At 38.0% G+C, this 20,105-nt stretch overlaps 1 protein-coding gene across 43 annotated transcripts in view; it reads left to right on the top strand.

Moving 5' to 3' along the window:
- The window catches only part of C12orf42 (chromosome 12 open reading frame 42), a 516,167-nt gene that overhangs the window by 140,570 nt on the left and 355,492 nt on the right, over positions 1–20,105 (top strand). The window contains exon 1 of one of the 43 annotated variants that reach the window (XM_047428805.1): positions 18,912–18,975. The exons of the other annotated variants lie outside the window; for them this stretch is intronic. The gene's annotated coding sequence lies outside the window, so the exon portion shown is untranslated. Of the gene's footprint in view, positions 1–18,911; positions 18,976–20,105 lie in introns of those variants that run through there. 43 annotated transcript variants of the gene reach the window in all.

Here is a 20,105-nt window from a genome sequence, read left to right as displayed (position 1 = left end):
GAGGATACTCAGCTGAGGTCCTGGCTTTGACCCCGTGACAAAGGGCTGGGGGCCCCAGGGCAAGGGCATCAATGCTTCCAGGGACAACACAGTGACCCATGGGGGTCACTCCTTCTGCTTTGTAGGTATTTGTGTAATAATGGGGTCCATTCCTTATTTTTATTTCTGTTACAGTTCTGGGGGCATCGAAGGAAAAATACTGGCTCCAATGTGGATGTGAAAGACAAACATATATAATGAGAGCATCAAGTGTCCCCTGGCAACAGTAACCATGATAAAATGCTACAGGGAAAATACACAGTATGCAGTGACCCACATAATCGGGCCTATTTTGAGAGCATTGTTTTATTTTTCTTTTGAAGGGTGTTGTGTCTTTTTTTTTTTTTTAATGTTCCCAGGTTGCAATTTAGTTTTGTTGGGATTATTGGAACACAAGTGTCTTTTTTCTTGTTACAGTTACAGTCTTGCTTGTTTTGGAGCTGGTTTTCTACCACCAGATACCCACCTGCTAGTGCAGTCTAAAATATTCCGTTTTATTTCCTTTATTTTTGCTTTAAAAAATTTCTATGCTTTCCATGGCCATTCTACAGGTTTCTTAGACATGTGCTAAGTGTTTTCTTACACTGGGACATTTGCATTGAGGTATCATTTTAAAAGGAAAATCCCACACAAAAGGCTTAGAAATAAGAGCCCAGCAGGGGACTCAGAACCACTAATGAAATGTACCGCATCCAGTAAAAAGCCCCAAATCCTACTCCACACTTTTCCTCTGTGGCGTGTGTCTAGTCCATCATTTTATTTTCTCAACTCACAGGCCAGAGTCGTTACCTTGTGAAAAAGAATGAATTGGGATATTGCTTTTGTTGAACAATAATTGGCTGTTATATTAAAGTGTGGCCCAGTAAAATGGAATTGTTGGCCAATTCTCTTCCATTTCAGAGGGTTGTTTCTTGAAAGTACTGCAAATCTCCTCCTTGATTAGCCCCTTTAAATCAATTTTGGGTTTTTCTTTTTTGAGTCATGACCTTTACAGGACTCAAATTCATTTCAGTGAATTTAAAGAGATTTGAATAGAACAAGGGATTGTTCAAAAATAGGGCTTTCAATCAGATTTATCCATTGTTGCTTTTCTGAGCAACATCTCTTTTTTCTTTATTTAAGGAGCGATTTAATAATTCAATACTGACTCTAATCAAGTTCAATACTTCATTATACATAAAGCTATCCCTCTGGCTCCAATGAATACATTTTAGAAACAAATAATATAATTTCTGACCATCTTATTCTTATTATTATTATTTGGAGCATGAATGTAACCAGGAATATAAGACAGGCGAATAGGATTGAAATATTTTGTAATTAGTCATTCCTTCTGGAAAGTTGTTATCTTGACAATTTAGCAGTTAATTTGTATCTTTTGCACACACACTTGTGCAGACATCAGATCTTTATTCCTCAGTTCCTAGAGGGAATTATAGCCCAACGGTATGTTTCATAACAGTTGTTTTAGAACAGTATTGAAACACTACTACTATACTGGAATATTAGTTCTTTTTTTGAGTTTTATTTAGTTCATTTGCTACTAGTTGATCATGCTGATATTTATTTATTTATTTATTTATTTATTTATTTATTTATTTATATTTATTGACAAGGTCTTGCTCTGTTGCCCAGACTGGAGTGCAGTGGTGAGATTATGGCTCTCTGTAGCCTTAACCTCCCAGATTCAAATGATGCTCTCACCTCAGCCTCCTAAGTATCTGGGACCACAGGCACACACCACCACACTCAGGTAATATTTTTTATTTTATTTTGTAGAGACAGGGTCTCCTGATGTTGCCCATGCTGGTCTCAGACTCCTGGGCTCAAGGGATTCTCCCGCCTTGGTCTCCTAAAGTTGTGATTACAAGTGTGAGCCACTGCACCCAGCCCTAAAATATTCTTACATTTATATTTATTTGGTTTTACTTTTCTCTTTGCCTCCTTTCCTCTCTTCTACATTATCTTCTTCCCTTCTCTATTTTTTCTCCCTTGTCATTAGCCCCTGGGCCTCTCGTGTCTTTGTAGCAGGCTAGGCACTGTGAGACAGAAGTTGCAAAGATGAGTAAGACAGGCTTCTTGGTCCCTAGGACAACATTCCCAACCACACAATCTTCTCATATTGGTGCACTGTGATTACTTAAAGGTATTTTTGTGAGTAAGTTGTACAATAAAATAAAAGATTTTGAAAATATTTGAAAAATGTGTAAGAATAGGTTCACTGTCTTCTCACTTTATACTATGCTTTCTTGAGTGGGAAGAAATAGTGGAATTAACGCTATTTTGCTGGGAATTATTCATAACCACAAATAATCCAATGGTCGTGTCAATCTACAATGTGTATAGTGCAAAAGAAACATGCAGGCTGGGCGCGGTGACTCATGCTTACAATCCCAGCACTTTGGGAGGCCGAGGCGGGCAGATCACGAGGTCAGGAAGTCGAGACCAGTCTGGCCAACATAGTGAAACCCTGTTTCTACTAAAATCAACCGGGTGTGGTGGTGTGCGCCTGTAATTCAAGCTACTTGGGAGGCTTAGGGAGGAGAATCACATGAACCAGGGAGGCGGAGGTTGCAGTGAGCAGAGATCGTGACATTGCACTCCAGCCTGGGTAAAAAAAAAAGAAACATGAAACATGCAAAGTTTGAGAACCACTGCCTTAGAGAGTTTGCATTAGAAGGGGAAGTGCTGACACAAGGAGACAATTGATGAGCAGTAAAGGGATACAGAAGACAAAAGGAGAGGGAGAAAACTGGAAGCTCATCGTGAGTGTACCACTTAGCAAAGATCTCGGTATCCACGTCCTCATGTGGCAGTTTGCAAGATTTCCAAGTCTTCCAAAGAATCTTCAAAGGAAAGAAGTCCCCAATGTGTACTTTTTCTATTGTTGTTTTTGTAAGCACAAAGGGTTCAGTTAGAGGGGTACTGCAAACCCACCTAAGCAGACAAAACCAAGTTGTTTGAAATGTTAATTATCAAGCTGTAGCAATTAGAAAATATCTATAATATAATGTTACATTGAAAAAACATATGTTTACAATGAAAACAACTATGTAAAAGTATGCCTATGAAGGACAATACAACTTTTCCCCTCTGTAACATTTCCTTTCTAAAGAAATGTTTTTAAAAATGCAATTTTATATGATATCTGTGTCATTTACTTGGCCACATGTTAATATAACAGCCAATAATTGTTTATGCAAAACAACTATATATAGTACTGTTACATAATTTTATACAATTAATCACAGTTGTGGAATTTTTTTGTTATAGAAAACCCTTTGCACACATTTAGTTTTGTGGCAGAAAACCTTCTGTATAAAGCCCCTGCTTGACTGAAACTGGAGGCAAATAATATCAGGGTTCGGGCCCCAGGAAGCAGAGCTATGACGAGGTATCCACACAAGGTGGCCAGGAATGGAAATGACTAGAGGGTGATTCTGAGCTAATATTCTCAGAAAGGCCAAGGTCAAGCTGGGGAAATCAGGTTTAGTTGAAGGAGTGGACACAAATAGATCTGAAGGACTGGCAAGTGTGCTGAGCAGAGTTGGAGAATTTGAGAGTCCAGCATGGGGGACTCTGTTTAGGGATATTCAGACAGTTGGAGTCACTGGTCTTTATAGCCATCACCACCGTGATCCATGGTGGGTTAGACTGGATTACAGGAGGAGCCCTGGGGAGGTGAAGGACTTGTCTTCCTCTCTGCTTCCTGTCTCGTCACCCATCTCCTCTATGTCCTGATTCTCCTCTAGTCTGTTTTATCCCATAACAACTTCCACCTGGGGCCCAAGGTGACCTTTCTAAAACCTATCTTGGACCACTTTTGGCTAAGATCAAGTATAAAACGTATCTTGGCTTAAAAATTTACACCTTTGCTTAAAACATGATGACTCCTTATTGCCTTCAGAATAAATTCCAAACTCCTTTACAATTTTTTTAAGGTTCTTTGCCATCTCAACCCTGGTGCCTCTCCTTTTATCTGCCTTAAACTCTGTTTCCTCTTTAGCCTGCCATCTCACTGAACTCCCTGTGGTTCTCTGAATGTGCCATCATTGAAAGATGATAGCATTTGTACGTGCAGCTCTTCCTGCCTTACCTCATATTCTCATTTAACTTTCATCCAGATCTAAGTTTGGATGGCTCTTTCTTTGGGGAGCTTCCCATGATATCCCAAGACTGACTTAGATTTTTCCCCTCTAGTACAGCTGTTCAGGACTCATCTGTTTAATTCTTTTTCCCTGATGGGCTGAGACTACCAGAAGCACATGTGGAAAGAAGTGCAGACCTTTGTCAATAGTAGATATAAGATAAGCGAACTGTGTAATATGGCTACCAAAAAAAAAAAAAAATTTAACGGAATGTTACATACAGAAAATGAGCTTCCTAAAATAGTTTTAAAAGCATTTTTTTCTGCCTATCTGTTGATTGTAAACTGTTAGTGTTTATTGCAGTGATGACACTGGTTTGAACTGGCCCCTCTTCCTGTATCACAGTAGCTGCTCATGATCTGGGGCTTGTTATTTTCAACAAGGCGATACAGGAATGATAAATTAATGGGAATAAAACATCCTCTTGAGACTGAAGAAAGCATTAAAGCATCCCACCCGAGACCACCACCAAAAAGTATTGTGTTTATTCACATACATGCTACATTTATTACTATATGCAGACAGTTAAAAAAAAGTTTGCTTCCAGGAATACAAAGATAGATATTTTTGCCCTGACATAACTATTTTACAAACACTCTATTTTCTCTATTAAAAGGATCTCCTGCTCCATGCTTCCATACTTCTGATCTTCCGTAAGAAGATCAGATTATCTTCTTAGCATTATATGTTAGATAAGAGTAGGCCGTATGATCCTATCTAGAAGACGGCATGCCTGCTGGTATCTGGCTTTCATGTCCTTTGATTTGGATTCTAGGACACCTGTGTTCACGAATTGATAATTCCAAAACCCTGAATTTTTCCAATGTGAGGATTACTCCATTAAAAGAACAAATATTTCTCCAGTCAGTGAAAGGAGGATTTGGTTAGGTAGTACTTTAGAAATAGATCTGGTAGTACTTTAGAAATAATTTAAATACCATTTCTATGTTAGTGGTAGAAATAAGAAGTTATTCTAAATAGCTCTTGGCCGTAGGGTAGAATAGCAAAGTTATCTTTTAAAAATGTCTCTATGAACAAAGTTGAATTAGACAGAATTAAAGAGTTAATGGATATTCTTTGCCAGAATTCTTCAGTGTCAACTAACTTTGTAAAATCTGGTTTCTGTTACTTAAATCTCATGTTAATAATGCCATTCATTAATTAATCTAACCATTGACTCCTGCATACATTCACCCATTTATCCAATGATTCATTATCTTTCTATCCACTCACTCATCAGTCCAACCACTTCTTATCCTATCCATTTCTGCATCCATCCATTTATCTATCTGGCAAATCTTGTGCAAACGTCTACCCAGTATAACTTTCCAGGTACTGAGAGGATTCAAAAATAATTAAGATAGTTTATCTTCTCAAAGTGCTTAAAGGTTAATAGCAGTCTCTTAGGTAATTAAGATTGGGACCTGGATGCGGATAGGAGAGAAGAGAGTGGAAGGCAAGAGACAAAGTATGGATGCTGCCATACACATGGGAAAGTGTAAAGTGCAAAGGGAACAATGAGGTGTGTGAAAAGGTGTGTGCAGGGGAATATGGAGGCTAAGGCTGAAAGATGGTTTGGATAAAGGAGCTGAAGCTCTTAAATGCCAAATGGAGGAGTATGAAGAACCTCTGGTGATTTACGAGCAGGGAAAATAACATGAAGTTTAACTATTCTTTAGGAAGATCAATCCAGGTCATTTTAGGGGATGGATTGGATGAGAGCAATATGAGAGAAGAGGGAGACTGGTTAGTGCTACAAGATAATTAGGTTTACCCTTTAAATCACTTACAGCATACAAACTTTGCCACAGTTAAGTGGGGGGGATTTTCCCATTAAAATTACTCAAGTATTGTTTGTATTTCAGAGACAGAAGAGGGAAGTTATGCCTATGTTACTCTTTTTAGTTTATGTTCAATGTTGACTGTCTCCTAAATATTGAAGAGAATAATTTATGTATTCAAACAAACTCTTCCTGGACTGGTACATTCAGATAGCTTTTATTACAGTGAGATAGGGAAGGTATGGAGAGAAGACACAATTATCAAAGTCCATGTTTGAAAATAAGGGAAGGATAGGCCCTTTCTCTTAATAAAATTACATCAATCCATTCTCCTTGCACATACTAGTTATAATATCTTTTGTGCAACTAGTGTAAAAACAAACATTTAACTCAGTTGCAAAGCTTGCTTTGAAGCATACTATTCAAGGTTTAGAAGACTAAAACAGAGGTGAAGAACTCTGTGTCAGTTCTCAAGGTCATTGAGTTGAAAGAAGATAAAATCAGAATTATGTAAAGTATGGAACAGGAGATCCTTTTAATAGAGAAAATAGAGTGTTTGTAAAATAGTTACGTCAGGGCAAAAATATCTATCTTTGTATTCCTGGAAGCAAACTCTTTTTTTTTAACTGTCTTGCATATAGTAATAAATGTAGCATGTATGTGAATAAACACAATCCTTTTTGGTGGTGGTCTCGGGTGGGATGCTTTAATGCTTTCTTCAGTCTCAAGAGGATGTTTTATTCCCATGAATTTATCATTCCTGTATTGCCTTGTTGAAAATAACCAATCTAAATCTCTCTGTGGAGTTGCTCTCTGGCCATCACTGGATTTCCAGGCTCTCAAGAAAATGTGTATATTTTTCCAATATGTTGAGCTCTGCCCAGTGCAGTGGGCCACTCACTTCTCCCATTCCCTATAATGCACTAAACCTTTTGGTTCACAGAATGTTCTCTCAGATTTTGCGAGCTTCACCAGCTCTCCAAATCAACTGAAAAACTGGGAGTCACAACCCTTTTTTTTTAACCTACATTACTTTTTATATGAATTTTTGCATTATTTTATGAAAATGTGCATACCCCTACAGAATGACATAAAGTTTGATTAAAATGAAAACAAGCAACCAAAATGACACCTAGCACACAGACCCATGTGTTGCACAAGTTGCACATGTATACACGTATACACACTCAGTTGCAGAAAGGCCAATAAAAAAAAAAACCCACTAAACAAAGACAATGGTGCCTCAGTAATCACCTGCTAAATCATGTAGACCCATCTGAAAAGAATGAGGAAACCTACAGAAAAAGGCAGAGAGTTTTTTCTTCTTGGAAACAGGAGGGAAAAACAGAATAAAATTTGGCACTTTATCAGCATGGCAGCTGTGCCTGTCTCCACAAGAAAACACCATCAAGCAATTCATGAATTCATGTTAAATAATTGCTCTTCACGTAAGGTGACTATTGTGTTCTGTCCCTAATTATGAATATCTTACAGTCTGATTTTTGGCACATTTACTCCTGTTTAAAACCAAATTAAACTCTGAAAGCATATGTTACTGTAAAGCATGAGTCTCAGGCGGTCATGGCATTTTGCAGAACATTATTCCGCAGCTATCTTAAAAATCAAAAGCACTTGATATTGATTTCTATTTTCATTGCACTGTGATCTGAGAGTGTTCTTGGTATGATTTCAGTTTTTAAAAATTAATCGAGACTTGCTTTATGACTGAGCATGTGGCTGATCTTAGAATATGTTCTGTGTGCAGATGAGAAGAATATATATTCTGTGGTGGTTGAGTGGAGTGTTCTCTAAATGTCTATTAAGTCCAATCGTTAGTCAATTGTTGAGTTTAAGTCCAGAGTTTCTTTGTTAGTTTTCTGCCTTGATGATTTGTCTAATGCTGTCAGTGGGGTGTTGAAGTCTCCCAGTAGTATTGTGTGGTTTTCTAAGTCATTTCTTAGGCCAAGAAGAACTTGTTTAATGAATCTGGGTGCACCACTGTTGGGTGTGTATATATTTAGGATATTCAAGGCTTCTTATTAGATTGTACCTTTTATCATTATGTAATGTCTTTCATTATCCTTCTTAATTCTTATGGTTTAAAGTATTTTTTTTTTCCTAATATAAGAATAGCTGTCTCTACTCTTTTTTTGTTGTTGTTTTCTGTTTTCATGGTAGATCTTTCTCTATCCTTCTACTTTGAGCCCACGGGTGTTGTTACATGTAAGACAGGTCTCTTGAAGACAACAGATGGTTGAGCCTTATCTTTTTATCCAGACTGCTATTCTGTATCTTTGAAGACAAGGATGCCCCTCTCACCACTCTTATTCAACATAATACTAGAAGTCCTAGCCAGAGCAATCAAGCAAGAGAAAGAAATAAAAGGCATCCAAATAGGAAAAGAAGTTAAACTATCTCTCTTCACTTACAATATGATTCTGAGTCTAGAACGACTCTGCCAAAAGGCCCCTGGATTGGATAAACAACTTTAGTAAAGTTTCAGGATGCAAAGTTAATGTATAAAAATCAGTAGTATTTCTATACAGCAGCAACTTCTAGGATGAGTGTGAAATCAAGAACACAATCCTACTTACAATAGCCACAAAGAAAATGAAATATACCTAGGAATACAGCTAACTAAGGTAGTGAAAGATCTTTATAAGAAGAACTGTAAGACACTGCTTAAAAACATCGGATGCAACACAAATAAATGAGGAAATATTCCATGCTCATAGATTGAAAGAATCAATATAATAAACATGGCCATACTACCCAAAGAAATGTACGGATTCAATGCTATTCCTATCAAACTACCAATGTTATTCTTTGCAGAATTGGAAAAATGATTCTATGCATCTGGGAAAGGACTGGTATCCAGAATCTGCAAGGAACGCAAACAAATCACCAAGAAAAAAACAAACAATCCCATAAAAAAGTGGGCTAAGGACATAAATAGACAGTTCTCAGAAGAAGATATGCAAATGGCCAACAAACATATGAAAAGATGCTCAACATCACTAATTAACAGGGAAATGCAAATCAAAACCACAATGTGATGCCACCTTACTCCTGCAAGAATGGCCATAATGAAAAAATAAAAAAAAATAGATATTGGTATGGATGTGGTGAAAGGGAACACTTTTACACTGCTGGTGGGAATGTACAGCCACTGTGGAAAACTATATGGAGATTCCTTAAAGAACTAAAAGTAGAACTACCATTTGATCCAGCAATCCCACTACTGAGTATCTACCCAGAAGAAAAGAAAATCACATTTTCACATGCATGTTTATAGCAGCACAATTCACAATTGCAAAAATATGAAACCAGCCTAAATGTACATCAACCAATGAGTGGATAAAGAAAATTATAATGATGTATATATAATATACACATACACACACACACCATGGAATACTACTCAGCCATAAAAAAGAAACAAAATAATGGCATTTGCAGCAACCTGAATGGAGTTGGAGACCATTATTCTAAGTGAAGTAGCTTAGAAATGGAAAACCAAACATCCCATGTTCTCATTTATAAGTGGGAGCCTAGCTATTAGGACACAAAGGCATAAGAATGATACAGTGGACTTTGGGGACTTGAAGTGAAGGGTGGGAGATGGGTGAGGGATAAAAGACTACACACTGAGTACGGTGCACACTGCTCAGGTAATGGATGCACCAAAATCTCAGAAATCACCACTAAAGGACTTAACCATAAAACCAAACACCACCTGTTCCCCCAAAACTATTGAAATAATAATAATAATAATAGAGTAAATACCAAAATAAAATTCATATGGAATGAAAAAAGAGCTTGTATAGTCACAGTAATCCTAAGCAAAAAGAACAAAGCTGGAGGCATCACACTATCTGACTTCAAACTATACTGTAAAACTGCAGTAGGCAAAACAGCATAGTGCTGGTTCAAAAATGGACACACAGACCAATGGAACAGAATAGAAAACTCAAAAATGAAGCCACACACCTACAGCCATCTGATCTTTAACAAGGCTGACAAAGAAGCAATGGGGAAAGGACTCCTTATTCAATAAATGGTGCTTGGATAACTGGCTAGCTATATGCTGAAGATACTTTCACCAGCTTTCACCCATGTACAAAAATTAACTCAAAATGGATCAAAGATTTAAATGTAACAGCTCAAACCATAAAAATCCAGAAGACAACTTAGGAAATACTCTTCTTGACATTGGCCTTGGCAAATAAGTTTTGGCTAAGTTTCCAAAAGCAATTGCAACAAAACAAAACATAGACAAGTGGGACCTAATTAAACTAAAGAGCTTATGCACAGCAAAAGAAACTATCCACAGAGTAAACAGAACCTACAAAATGGGAGAAGATATTTGCAAACTATGCATCCCACAAAGGCTAAATATCCAGAATCTATATGGAACTTAAATTAACAAGAAAAAACAAATAACATCATTAAAAATGGGCAAAGTATATGAACAAATACTTCTTAAAAGAAGACATATAAGGAGCCAATAAATATATGAAAAATGCCCAGCATCACTAATCATCAGAGAAATGCAAATCAAAACCATGGTGAGATGCCATCTCAGACTGTAGAAAGCAGTCTGGAGATTACTGCAATTTAGGTTTGCAGTAAGTTGTAGTAAGCCAACCTCTGCCTCCCAGGTTCAAGTGATTCTCCTGCCTCAGCTTCTTGAGTAGCTGGGATTAGAGGTGCCCACCACCATGCCCAGCTGATTTTTGTATTTTTAGTAGGGACAGGGTTTTGCCATGTTGGCCAGGCCAGTCTCGAACTCCTGACCCCAGGTGATCTGCCTGCCTCAGCCTCCCAAAGTGCTGGGATTACAGGCGTGAGCTACTGCGCCCAGCTGTCTCTTTCAAATTTTATTCCAGTTTACCTGATGAACACCGTCACATGTGTGTATATCACAATATTATTTATTTGGTTATTACTGTTTAGCGGAGGTAAAACAATCTTAGTGTTTAGTTGAAATGCAGTTTAATAAAAATGGGCTTGGTGTTCAATATATTTCTCATTTCAGTTCTGAACTATGACATTTTACTTGTGCTGATTCCAAGGTTAAAAATTTAAACTCAGTTAAAATGTGAGTCTTCAGAAAGAGTTTCAGAAAATGTGCTTTATCCTGGGTTATCAGATGGTGTTTTGCCGCCTTGGTTGCAAGTCCTGATGTGGCACCTTTGTTGAGTGTAGTATACTTTATGCTCTACTAACTCAGATCATTGTAATTAGTTGCCAGTGATCATTGCATTGGTAACCATCTTGGGCTCCTCTATAACATATTTAGAGTAGAAGTATGTTATAGCCTTCAAATAAACTTTTTAAGTCAATTTCTTTCTCTCTGCCTGTCTCCCTCTGTGTATGTGTGTGTGTGTTTGTGTGCATGCATGTGCACACATGTATACATAATTGTTTTAGTCTGTTCAGGATGCTGTAACAAAATACTTTAGATAGGGTAATTTATAAACAACAGACATTTATTGCTCGTAGTCCTGGAGGATGGGAAGTCCAAGATCAACGCACAAATAGATTCAGTGGTGAGGGCTTGCTTTCTGCCTCAGAGATGCCTTCTTTCTGTGTTCCTCCCATGGCAGAAGAAGATAACAAGCTCCCCTGGCTTCTTTTTCATAAGGGAACTAATCCTATTCATGAGGGCTCCACCCTGATGACCTAGTCACTTCCCAAAGACCCCACTTCTTAATGGTATTAAGGGGTTGGGAATTAGATTTCAACACATGAGTTTTGGAGAGATACAAACATTCAGATTATAGCAATAATTGTTTGTATCACAATTTTACTTTCTGTGCTTTTACTTCTGCATAGTAACTATATTGTATCTGACAACATTATATCAAATGAAAAAAAGTAGAGTGTCATGGTAAGAATACACTGCTACAGTTTTGCATAATAAAATTGACAGTAAGTTCCCTTTTGATTATGATTTTTTAAAACTTTTGCATATTAATATTAATAGAATTAGCTATATAGTTCTATTAGAATAATGTCATTACTAAAAGAGATAGTTTTTTATATATAGAGCAAATTAGCTGCATATTAGCTTGATATGATGATAAGGCTGGCAAATGAATCTGCAGGTGTGCAATGCACTACAGCATGGACAAGGGAGGATGGAAACAACTGCTCTCTAGTATTTTTCTGTACACATGCCTTGAAGGAAATTAAGAATAATAGTAAAAGTTATTGGGGTATATTTGGAGGCACTTTGGGCACACATCTTGGTTCAAATCCTCCTTGCTTGGTAACTGAGTATCCTTGGACCTATCATCTAATCTTTCAGTCAGCTTTTTTATCTAAATAGAGATGACAGTAGCTACTCTATACAGTTGCTGAGATGTGCTCAGTAACCGTTGATTTCTCTTCCCGCTTTCCTTATGGCTGGCTTTCAAGAGTGTGAATAGACATGAACATACAGAGTCTTCTACTTTTAATCTGATTTGTTAATCTGAAAGGACAAAGGTGAGACTGCTCTGATCCCTAAGAATAGAACCACCCTGGGAATAACTCCTCTGTTTTCACCTGCCCTGCTTTCCATGCTATTCTTGCTGGAATAAAGTTGCAGTTCCAAATGTTCTTCTGGCAGCTCTTTCCAAGGCATTACCTAGAGCAAAGATGGTTGAAGTATGGGTAGATATTCCCCATCCATCCTGGGGCTTGCTTGTGGCCATGACAATCATGCCAGTCAGTCAAGGCCTCTTTCTTATGAAACCTGGAAGCATCTCCAGGGAGCCACTCCCCACTTGGCCTAAGTTGGCATTTAAGCTATCCTGACTTAAAAATTCTATAGGAGAAAGCATACAAATTGGAACACAAGGGTCTTGACTCACAGATGATCACACAAATATTTTTGCTTCTTTTTCAGACAAGCATAGAGATTAAATGGATTACTGAAGATCCTAAATTGATTGGAGAAGCAGGATTAACATTTGGGGTTCTTGACCTCAAAATTAAGCCTCCTTTTAGTTTAGGCTCTTCAATTTTTCCTTCTGAAAATATTGTCTCCCTGGAAGTGGGTGGCTGCAAGAAACAGTTGAGTTTGAAGTCTTTGCAGAATTATGCAACTACTGACTGGATGACAGTGGGGTAGGAGAGTTACGGGAGAATTCAAACATCAGCTGGCATGTTGGATTAAATGATCTTTAAGATGTATTCTGGGCCCCAGATTCTGAGATTCTCCTTACGGTGTCACTTAGGAATGTAATTTCCTAAACATGAAATGTCTCAGGAAGTAAGTTCCATGTCTGGGACTCATTTGCAATTAGACATTCAAGACTCTAAATAACATTTGGGTTAATTAACTTTTGCCTGGTTTCATAAAACACATTTAGTACTTCTGACCATCTTAGTGTATTGTGCTCAATATAAGATTGTTAGTAGACTTGTGAAAATTACAAAATTTAGAAAATAAGAATCATGATGAAAATACTGAATACATTATTTTAAAGTCAAGGAACTGCTAGGTGCATGACATGATATCATAATTATTTTTTGGTAGGGAAAAAATCTTATTTATCTGCATACTCATCTTAAAAAAGATCTATTAAAAAGTTGATAATTTAAGATAATTCCAGAATACGAGATTTGAGAAGTGCACATCTATCCATTTTTGACCACAATGAATGTTAAATAGATTTTCAAGTTTTTTTTATGGGTATCAAAGTGATGTTCTTATTGAACCTTAAAAGCCATAGTGAGCCTTCCTTGTCTCCTGTCCTCCCCCTTGCAGCATTGTAAATCTAACTTCTGCCCGTCCTATTGTTCAGAAAAAAGCAGCCATATTGTGCTGATTGCTATTAAATTAAAGCAGAAAGGGAGAGACACAAATGTGGAAGCCCATCTTACCAGCAGGGATACCACTATCTTTTATTTTGCATTTTGGGAGGGTCAGAAAGTCATGACAGGCCTCTGACCTCTGATAACCTCTTTGATGCTTCTGTGTGCAGTTTTTTGGGGAAGAACTTAATTAAATACAATTGAATTTCCCTGCTAACATTACCACTGAAAGGACTCCTTTTAGATGGCTCAGTGTTTGCTGGTGAGGAACAAACAAAGATGCTTCTTTTGTTCCTCAAAGAAAAGTTAGCATATGTTAGTTAAGGATTTGTGATTTCTTTTGACTAGACTGGCGGGTTCCTAAAAATTCAATGAGTCTTCTGAAATGGTAACCATGATAAAACATGAAATATGCGGTTAACTAAAACCCTAACTCTCTTTATTCCTGTTGGTTATTACTAAGGTTAATCTTTTAAAGAATTTACTATGTTAATCTATACTTAAAAATTATGAGCATTTATTTATAATGAAATTGCTAATGTTTGGATACATCAAATATAACTTGTTCATCTCCTGGATTTTTTAGGTACCAGAGGAAGGGAAGAGTTACCAGCAGATGCACTTTTGTGCTTTTACCTAGGAGACAGTTAAAACAGGAGTTGACAAAAAATATACAGTTTTTGGTTTTGAACAGTTTGTTGAAACTTTAAGAAGCTTGTCTACAAGCTACACTTTAATAAAATGCAATAATCTATGTACTCTATAGGTTAAAAATCCATTTTCCCATTGTTACTCTTGGGCTTCTGAAATCAGTGGCTGATAATGACAAATGGAGGAATCAGTTTTATAATCATACACAAATAATAAGTTATTTTATTCAAATTTGAGACTTGGTACTTATTGAGAGAGGAATTGGGTTTATATCTTCTTAGATAAAAAGAAACTTTTCATCCTAGATGATTTTGTTTTCCTTGAAGAGAAGATTAGAATTAGGAGCTGATGCTTTTGAATTTAAAGTTGACTACTGTGTGTGTTAAGCCTACTTCCTCACCTCCACACCCTCTTCCTCTGTTTCTAAGCTTTCCCAGATCTCTCTAATTATTTAGGGGGAGAAAAAGTCAACACTTGACTCTGCTGACCTATCTGGCTGCTGCTCCGTCTCTTGTGTCTCATGCATGGTTAAATTCCTAAAAATGGTGTGTACTACACCCACAGCCTATATTTCCATGTCACTCTCCAGAATCTAGTTTCTATGTTCACTATATACTATGTACTCCAGGGCAAGGTGCCCACAATCAGGGCTACCATGTAAGTTTGATGTTATACCTTACACATGACTCCAAGCCAAGGGGATAGGAAGAGGCTAAAATTTTGGTGCATTTAATGGCTAGACTAAGTCCTACCACGGGGCTTTATCTGCAAAGAGGGGGGTGCCATTGTTACTATGATGATGATAATGATTATTTTGTGCTTTGCCTGAAGACTCCATAGGGCTAGCTGTGGCTTTGTCAACAATTCCCTTGGTCCAGTCTCAGCCTTTACTGTCTGATCTTATTTTTCAAAACTCAACCTTTGAAAAGCATGTGATCAAGAATGAAACCTCATTTGTCTAAAGGGTGCAAAATTCTTTGTCAACAGGAGGTCTTCCCCAAGGCTGTTAAAATCTTAAATCACTATGGGATTGGGATGAATTGTAGTTGACCTTTGAACAGCATGAAGGTTGGGGTGCGGTTGCCCTGTGCAATAAGAAATCCATGCATAACTTTTGACTCCCCCAAAACTTAACTATTAATAGCCTACTGTTGACAGGCAGCCTTACCAATAACAGAAACAATCAATTAACACACATATTTTTGTATGTTACGTGTATTATATACTGTATTCTTAAAGTAAGATAGAGAAAAGATGTTATTAAGAAAATCATAATGAAGAGAAAATATATTTACTATTTGTTAAGTAGAAGTGAACCATCATGAAAGTCTTCATCCTTATTGTCTTTACATTGAGTATGCTGAGGAAGAAGAGGAGGGGTTCGCCTTCTGTCTCAGGGGTGGCAAAGATGGGAGAAAATCACTGTATTAGTAGACCTGCGCAGTTCAAACCCATGTGTTGGTCAAAGGTCTACTGTATTTTTCTGTGTATTTAAACAGAATACTAGTTGAGGGAAGAAAAATAAAGATTAAAATCATTATGTAAAAATGCAATGCCAGTCTCTTTTTTTAATCACTTGGCTGTCTCATCCTATCCCCCTCTGCAATCATCCTGATGGGAGACACCTGAACACTGTGAAGAGGCTGCAGGCTTTATGACTAGGAAGGCTCACCTTGGAATCGCAACTCCACCACTTACTCAGTGATATTGCCTTGGCTGTCATTGAGTTCTCTGGGCTTCAGATTTTTCATCTACAAAATAAGGATAAAAATTGTTGGCTGTCAATAATTCTTTGGTGGAGGATAAAGGGAGTTATTACGGGGCACAACTACTATTTGGCCTGGCAGCAGCTCATAGCAGAGTCAGAATGTTCTCTCAGTCTACACTTTCCCCGTGCTGACCCTCTGTTAACATTACTTTTACTTGTTCTTTTCAACTGGATTTTTTTTTTCTTTTTGCTCTTTCTTCAACATCTGGCTCAGCTGACATCTCTTCCAAGAAGTGTTTACTGATTCTTCACATTTGTCTAAATCTTCTCCTTAGGTCTGGGAGAGGAGCTCCCCTGGTACCTTATGCATCCATTTTCATAGTCTTTATCCTGTTGTGCTGTAATTGCACCAGGGGAGCATTGTGGAGATTATGCTTCATTTATTTTTGTATCCTTGGTACTGAACATAGTAAATGGCAAACCAATAACTATTTGAAAAGCTGAATTGTCTTGATCTCAACATCTGGACAAGTGGAGAGAAAAGCATCAGCAAAGCCATGGCAGTTGGGAAACATAGATCATTAGAAACAGTGGTGACCAGACCCCTTCCTTGTATGTTTCATCTGTAATGGATATTCCTCTATTGCTTAATTTCTGATCTATTACACTATCCAGGTCTCTTCTTGGAGAAGAACTGATCTATTTCCAGGGCTTCAGCTATGTCTTTTCTTGACCATACAACCTCTTGAAAGCAGCTATCTACAAAGATCAGTAGATCAGTACCTTGCTGTTCCAGAACCAACATCACCTGGGAGCTTGTTATAAAACCAGAATCTCAGGCCCTCCTCTAGACCTCCTGAATTAGAATCTGCATTTTAGCTACTCCTCAGGTGATTTTGATGTACAGTAAAATGTAAGAAGCCCTGGATTAGTAGTACGTGCCTTCAAGAATAGTGTATTCCCTGAATTTATTGATATTTAAATGCCTTTGCCTATGAAGTCTCAGGGAAAGGCATTGGGTCTGTTGCAAGGAGAATGAAATAGTACACTGGTATATTGATGAGATCTTGGCCAAAATCGGGCAGTAATTTTCTAACCAAGTTAACCACAAATGAAACAATCCACATTAGATTAGAACTAAGTAGACAACCTAAATATTTAAAAAGGGTTCAAGTAAGTGAGAAATAAGTATTTCATCTTAATGTCTTGATCCTCTGCTTGGATAGAAAATGATTATCATCTTAAAGAGAGACCATTTCTTTAGAAAGAAATACACTACCCCACATCAAGGCAAACATGTTTTTTATTTGGTAGTAGTTTAATGACCGAAGCAAGGATTTCAAAAGCTATCTCCTGGTTTCCGTTCCAGTCTCAGAGGCAAAGCAAGTATTTGCTTTCAGCATAGTTGACACCCAAGCTTTTTGCAAATGTTTCCACAAAGCCAGCTGTCCTTTGTAGATCCCCCTGGGAACTTTTCTTTTGGTTACTAACCCTCGAGTGCCTACAGCTCCCGATTTGTGAAGGTATTTGTCAGATGGAAAGAGGTCATGAATCTTCAGATCTTTTTGAGGAGCATGATCAAGACTCCAGTTTGAAAAACTTTATCCCTTTGCTCAGACCTTTGGGCTCATCTGAAGACCCCCTTCTCCAGCCTTATCATCCCATTGGAACATGCCCCTCCACACACATAGATAAACAAAAACAGCATGTCTGTAGCATTTCTTGGCTAGTATATTATAGGGTTAAAATTCTGAGAAAATTCATTCTTTATCTGAAAACTTCATTGGATTTTAAATGCATTTTTATACTAACATTTCTGTTGATGAGTCTTGTGGATGCATGAAATTTTATGTTTACTGCTTTTGTTTTATCACCAGTTCAGTCATGGTTTCTCCCTGGATCTCGCCTTTGTATCTTCCCTAGTACCTTATTCCCTCCTCCTTTTTAAATAACAGAGTCCCAGAGAGTGTTTAATGACTGACCTCTAATGCCATGTGCTCAGTTGAATAAAAGGCTGTGGTCAAACACTCATCTGGAGAATCATGTTACAAAATCGTCAGTGACAAGGACCTGCTACTGAGATATTGTGGCCTTCCAAGGACCTGATGGCGGATTCAGTTTTTACTCTTCATGCACCTATTAGGTGGTTCAAGTGTATAAATGCGTGCGTGTGCACTTGCGTGTGTGTGCATGCCTGTGAGCGTGAACAGAACAAAAACCTGAACTCTCTAGCACATACCACCTGTTTTCACATCATTGTTGTTACAAAAGGCTTTTTTTCCCTCCTTTAATTAGCTGAGCTGTCCTATTTTTTCATAACTTGCCTCTTCTCTAACATATGGGCTGTAACCGTATTTCTTTTCATTAGACCTGAGCCTTGTTTGTCATTTATACCATACTTTTGCCTTTCTCTTTCATTTGGAAAGAAAGAGAGGCTTTTCTATTATTTTAGAGCAAAGCACCTCTGGTTTATGTGGCGACTCTTGTGGCTTTCTAAATGCACTTGATTTAGCTTTCAATGTGTAATTACTGCCAAACAAGTTAATTGCTTTATAAGTGTCCAAAATTCCCTGGTTTAATTTTGCTTTCATTTAGCAACCTTCATTATACATCCACTGTTCAACATAAACACAAATGATTGTTAATGAATGCCTAATGCCATATTCATTAGAAAATCAGGTTAATGACTGGCAATGAATATCCCAGCTACTTTATTCTTTCAACCTTTTATTTATTTATTTTTGCCTTGTTGATTACAATAGCATTTTTGTTTACCAGGCAATTCTACCTGTACTCCTAGTCTGTTTCTTTCTGGACTCCTCGTCTTGCTTAAAAGTTCAAGGTAAAGGTTTCTAAGGTACTCCCATTCCTTAATTGTTCTTTCTTCCTTCTTCCTGCAGATACCTCCAATATATGCAGCTATTTGTACATAAATTATGTCTCAATAATGCTTTATAAAAAATTTAAAAACCAAGATAATCAGAATGCACATGATTTCCTTGGGCTATTGGCTACCATAAAGTCTTGTTGTTTGGAGAACAGAAATCTCAGGACTGCTTTGTATAGATGGTCAGGTGGTACACTGAACTACCCTAAGAGGTATTGTTTTTGCATCACAGTCTCTGTGAATGATGCCACCCTGTTGTGCCATCCACAACTTGCATAGCTCTGAGGAGTGGCACTAAGAAATCTCCACTGAAATAAAAAATGTATCAGAGCAGGGTGGTTTGGGACAGCATTCAGTGCTTCGTGCTGACTGCCCTGGGCAAAGGTTGACTACTTGGAAGACACCGGATGTGTGAATGTACATGGTTCGAGTGAGTGGCAGGAAGTCCATGGAGAAGGAGAACTGAGACGCAAATTATCGGGATGGGCCTAATTTTCCCCCGGTGATTCTTGCTTTGTAAATGAAATTCCTTCCCCTCCCTGCAGACATGGCTTTTCCAATCAAACCAGCAGCTGGGGTTCAAAGGCTATGCATGTATGCTGATAATCCAACAGAGGACGATGGGCAGAACACAAAGTCCAGATTCTGAAATTTGAGCCCTGGCTTGTCACTACATGGTTGTGTGATCTCGAGCAGTTTCCTCATCTATCAAATGCAAATGTTGGCGATTTAGAATTCCTTCTGGCTCCACACCTTGTGACACCACATTCCTTTTGGGATGACAGGATAGTGCCCCTGCATCCTTTTTCTTTTTTTTTTTTTTTTGAGACGGAGTCTCGCTCTGTTGCCCAGGCTGGAGTGTAGTGGGGCAATCTCAGCTCACTGCAAGCTCTGCCTCCCAGGTTCACGCCATTCCCCTGCCTCAGCCTCCGGAGCAGCTGGGACTACAGGCGCCCGCCACCACTCCCGGCTAATTTTTTTGTATTTTTAGTAGAGACGGGGTTTCACCGTGTTAGCCAGGGTGGTCTCGATCTCCTGACCTCGTGATCCGCCCGCCTCGGCCTCCCAAAGTGCTGGGATTACAC

The sequence above is a fragment of the Homo sapiens genome, chromosome 12, assembly GCF_000001405.40.
Source record: "Homo sapiens chromosome 12, GRCh38.p14 Primary Assembly".
In the NCBI taxonomy this organism is placed as follows: Eukaryota; Metazoa; Chordata; class Mammalia; order Primates; family Hominidae; genus Homo; species Homo sapiens.
The sequence above is the reverse complement of the archived record's forward strand: the minus strand, read 5'-3'. Positions and strand labels throughout refer to the sequence as shown.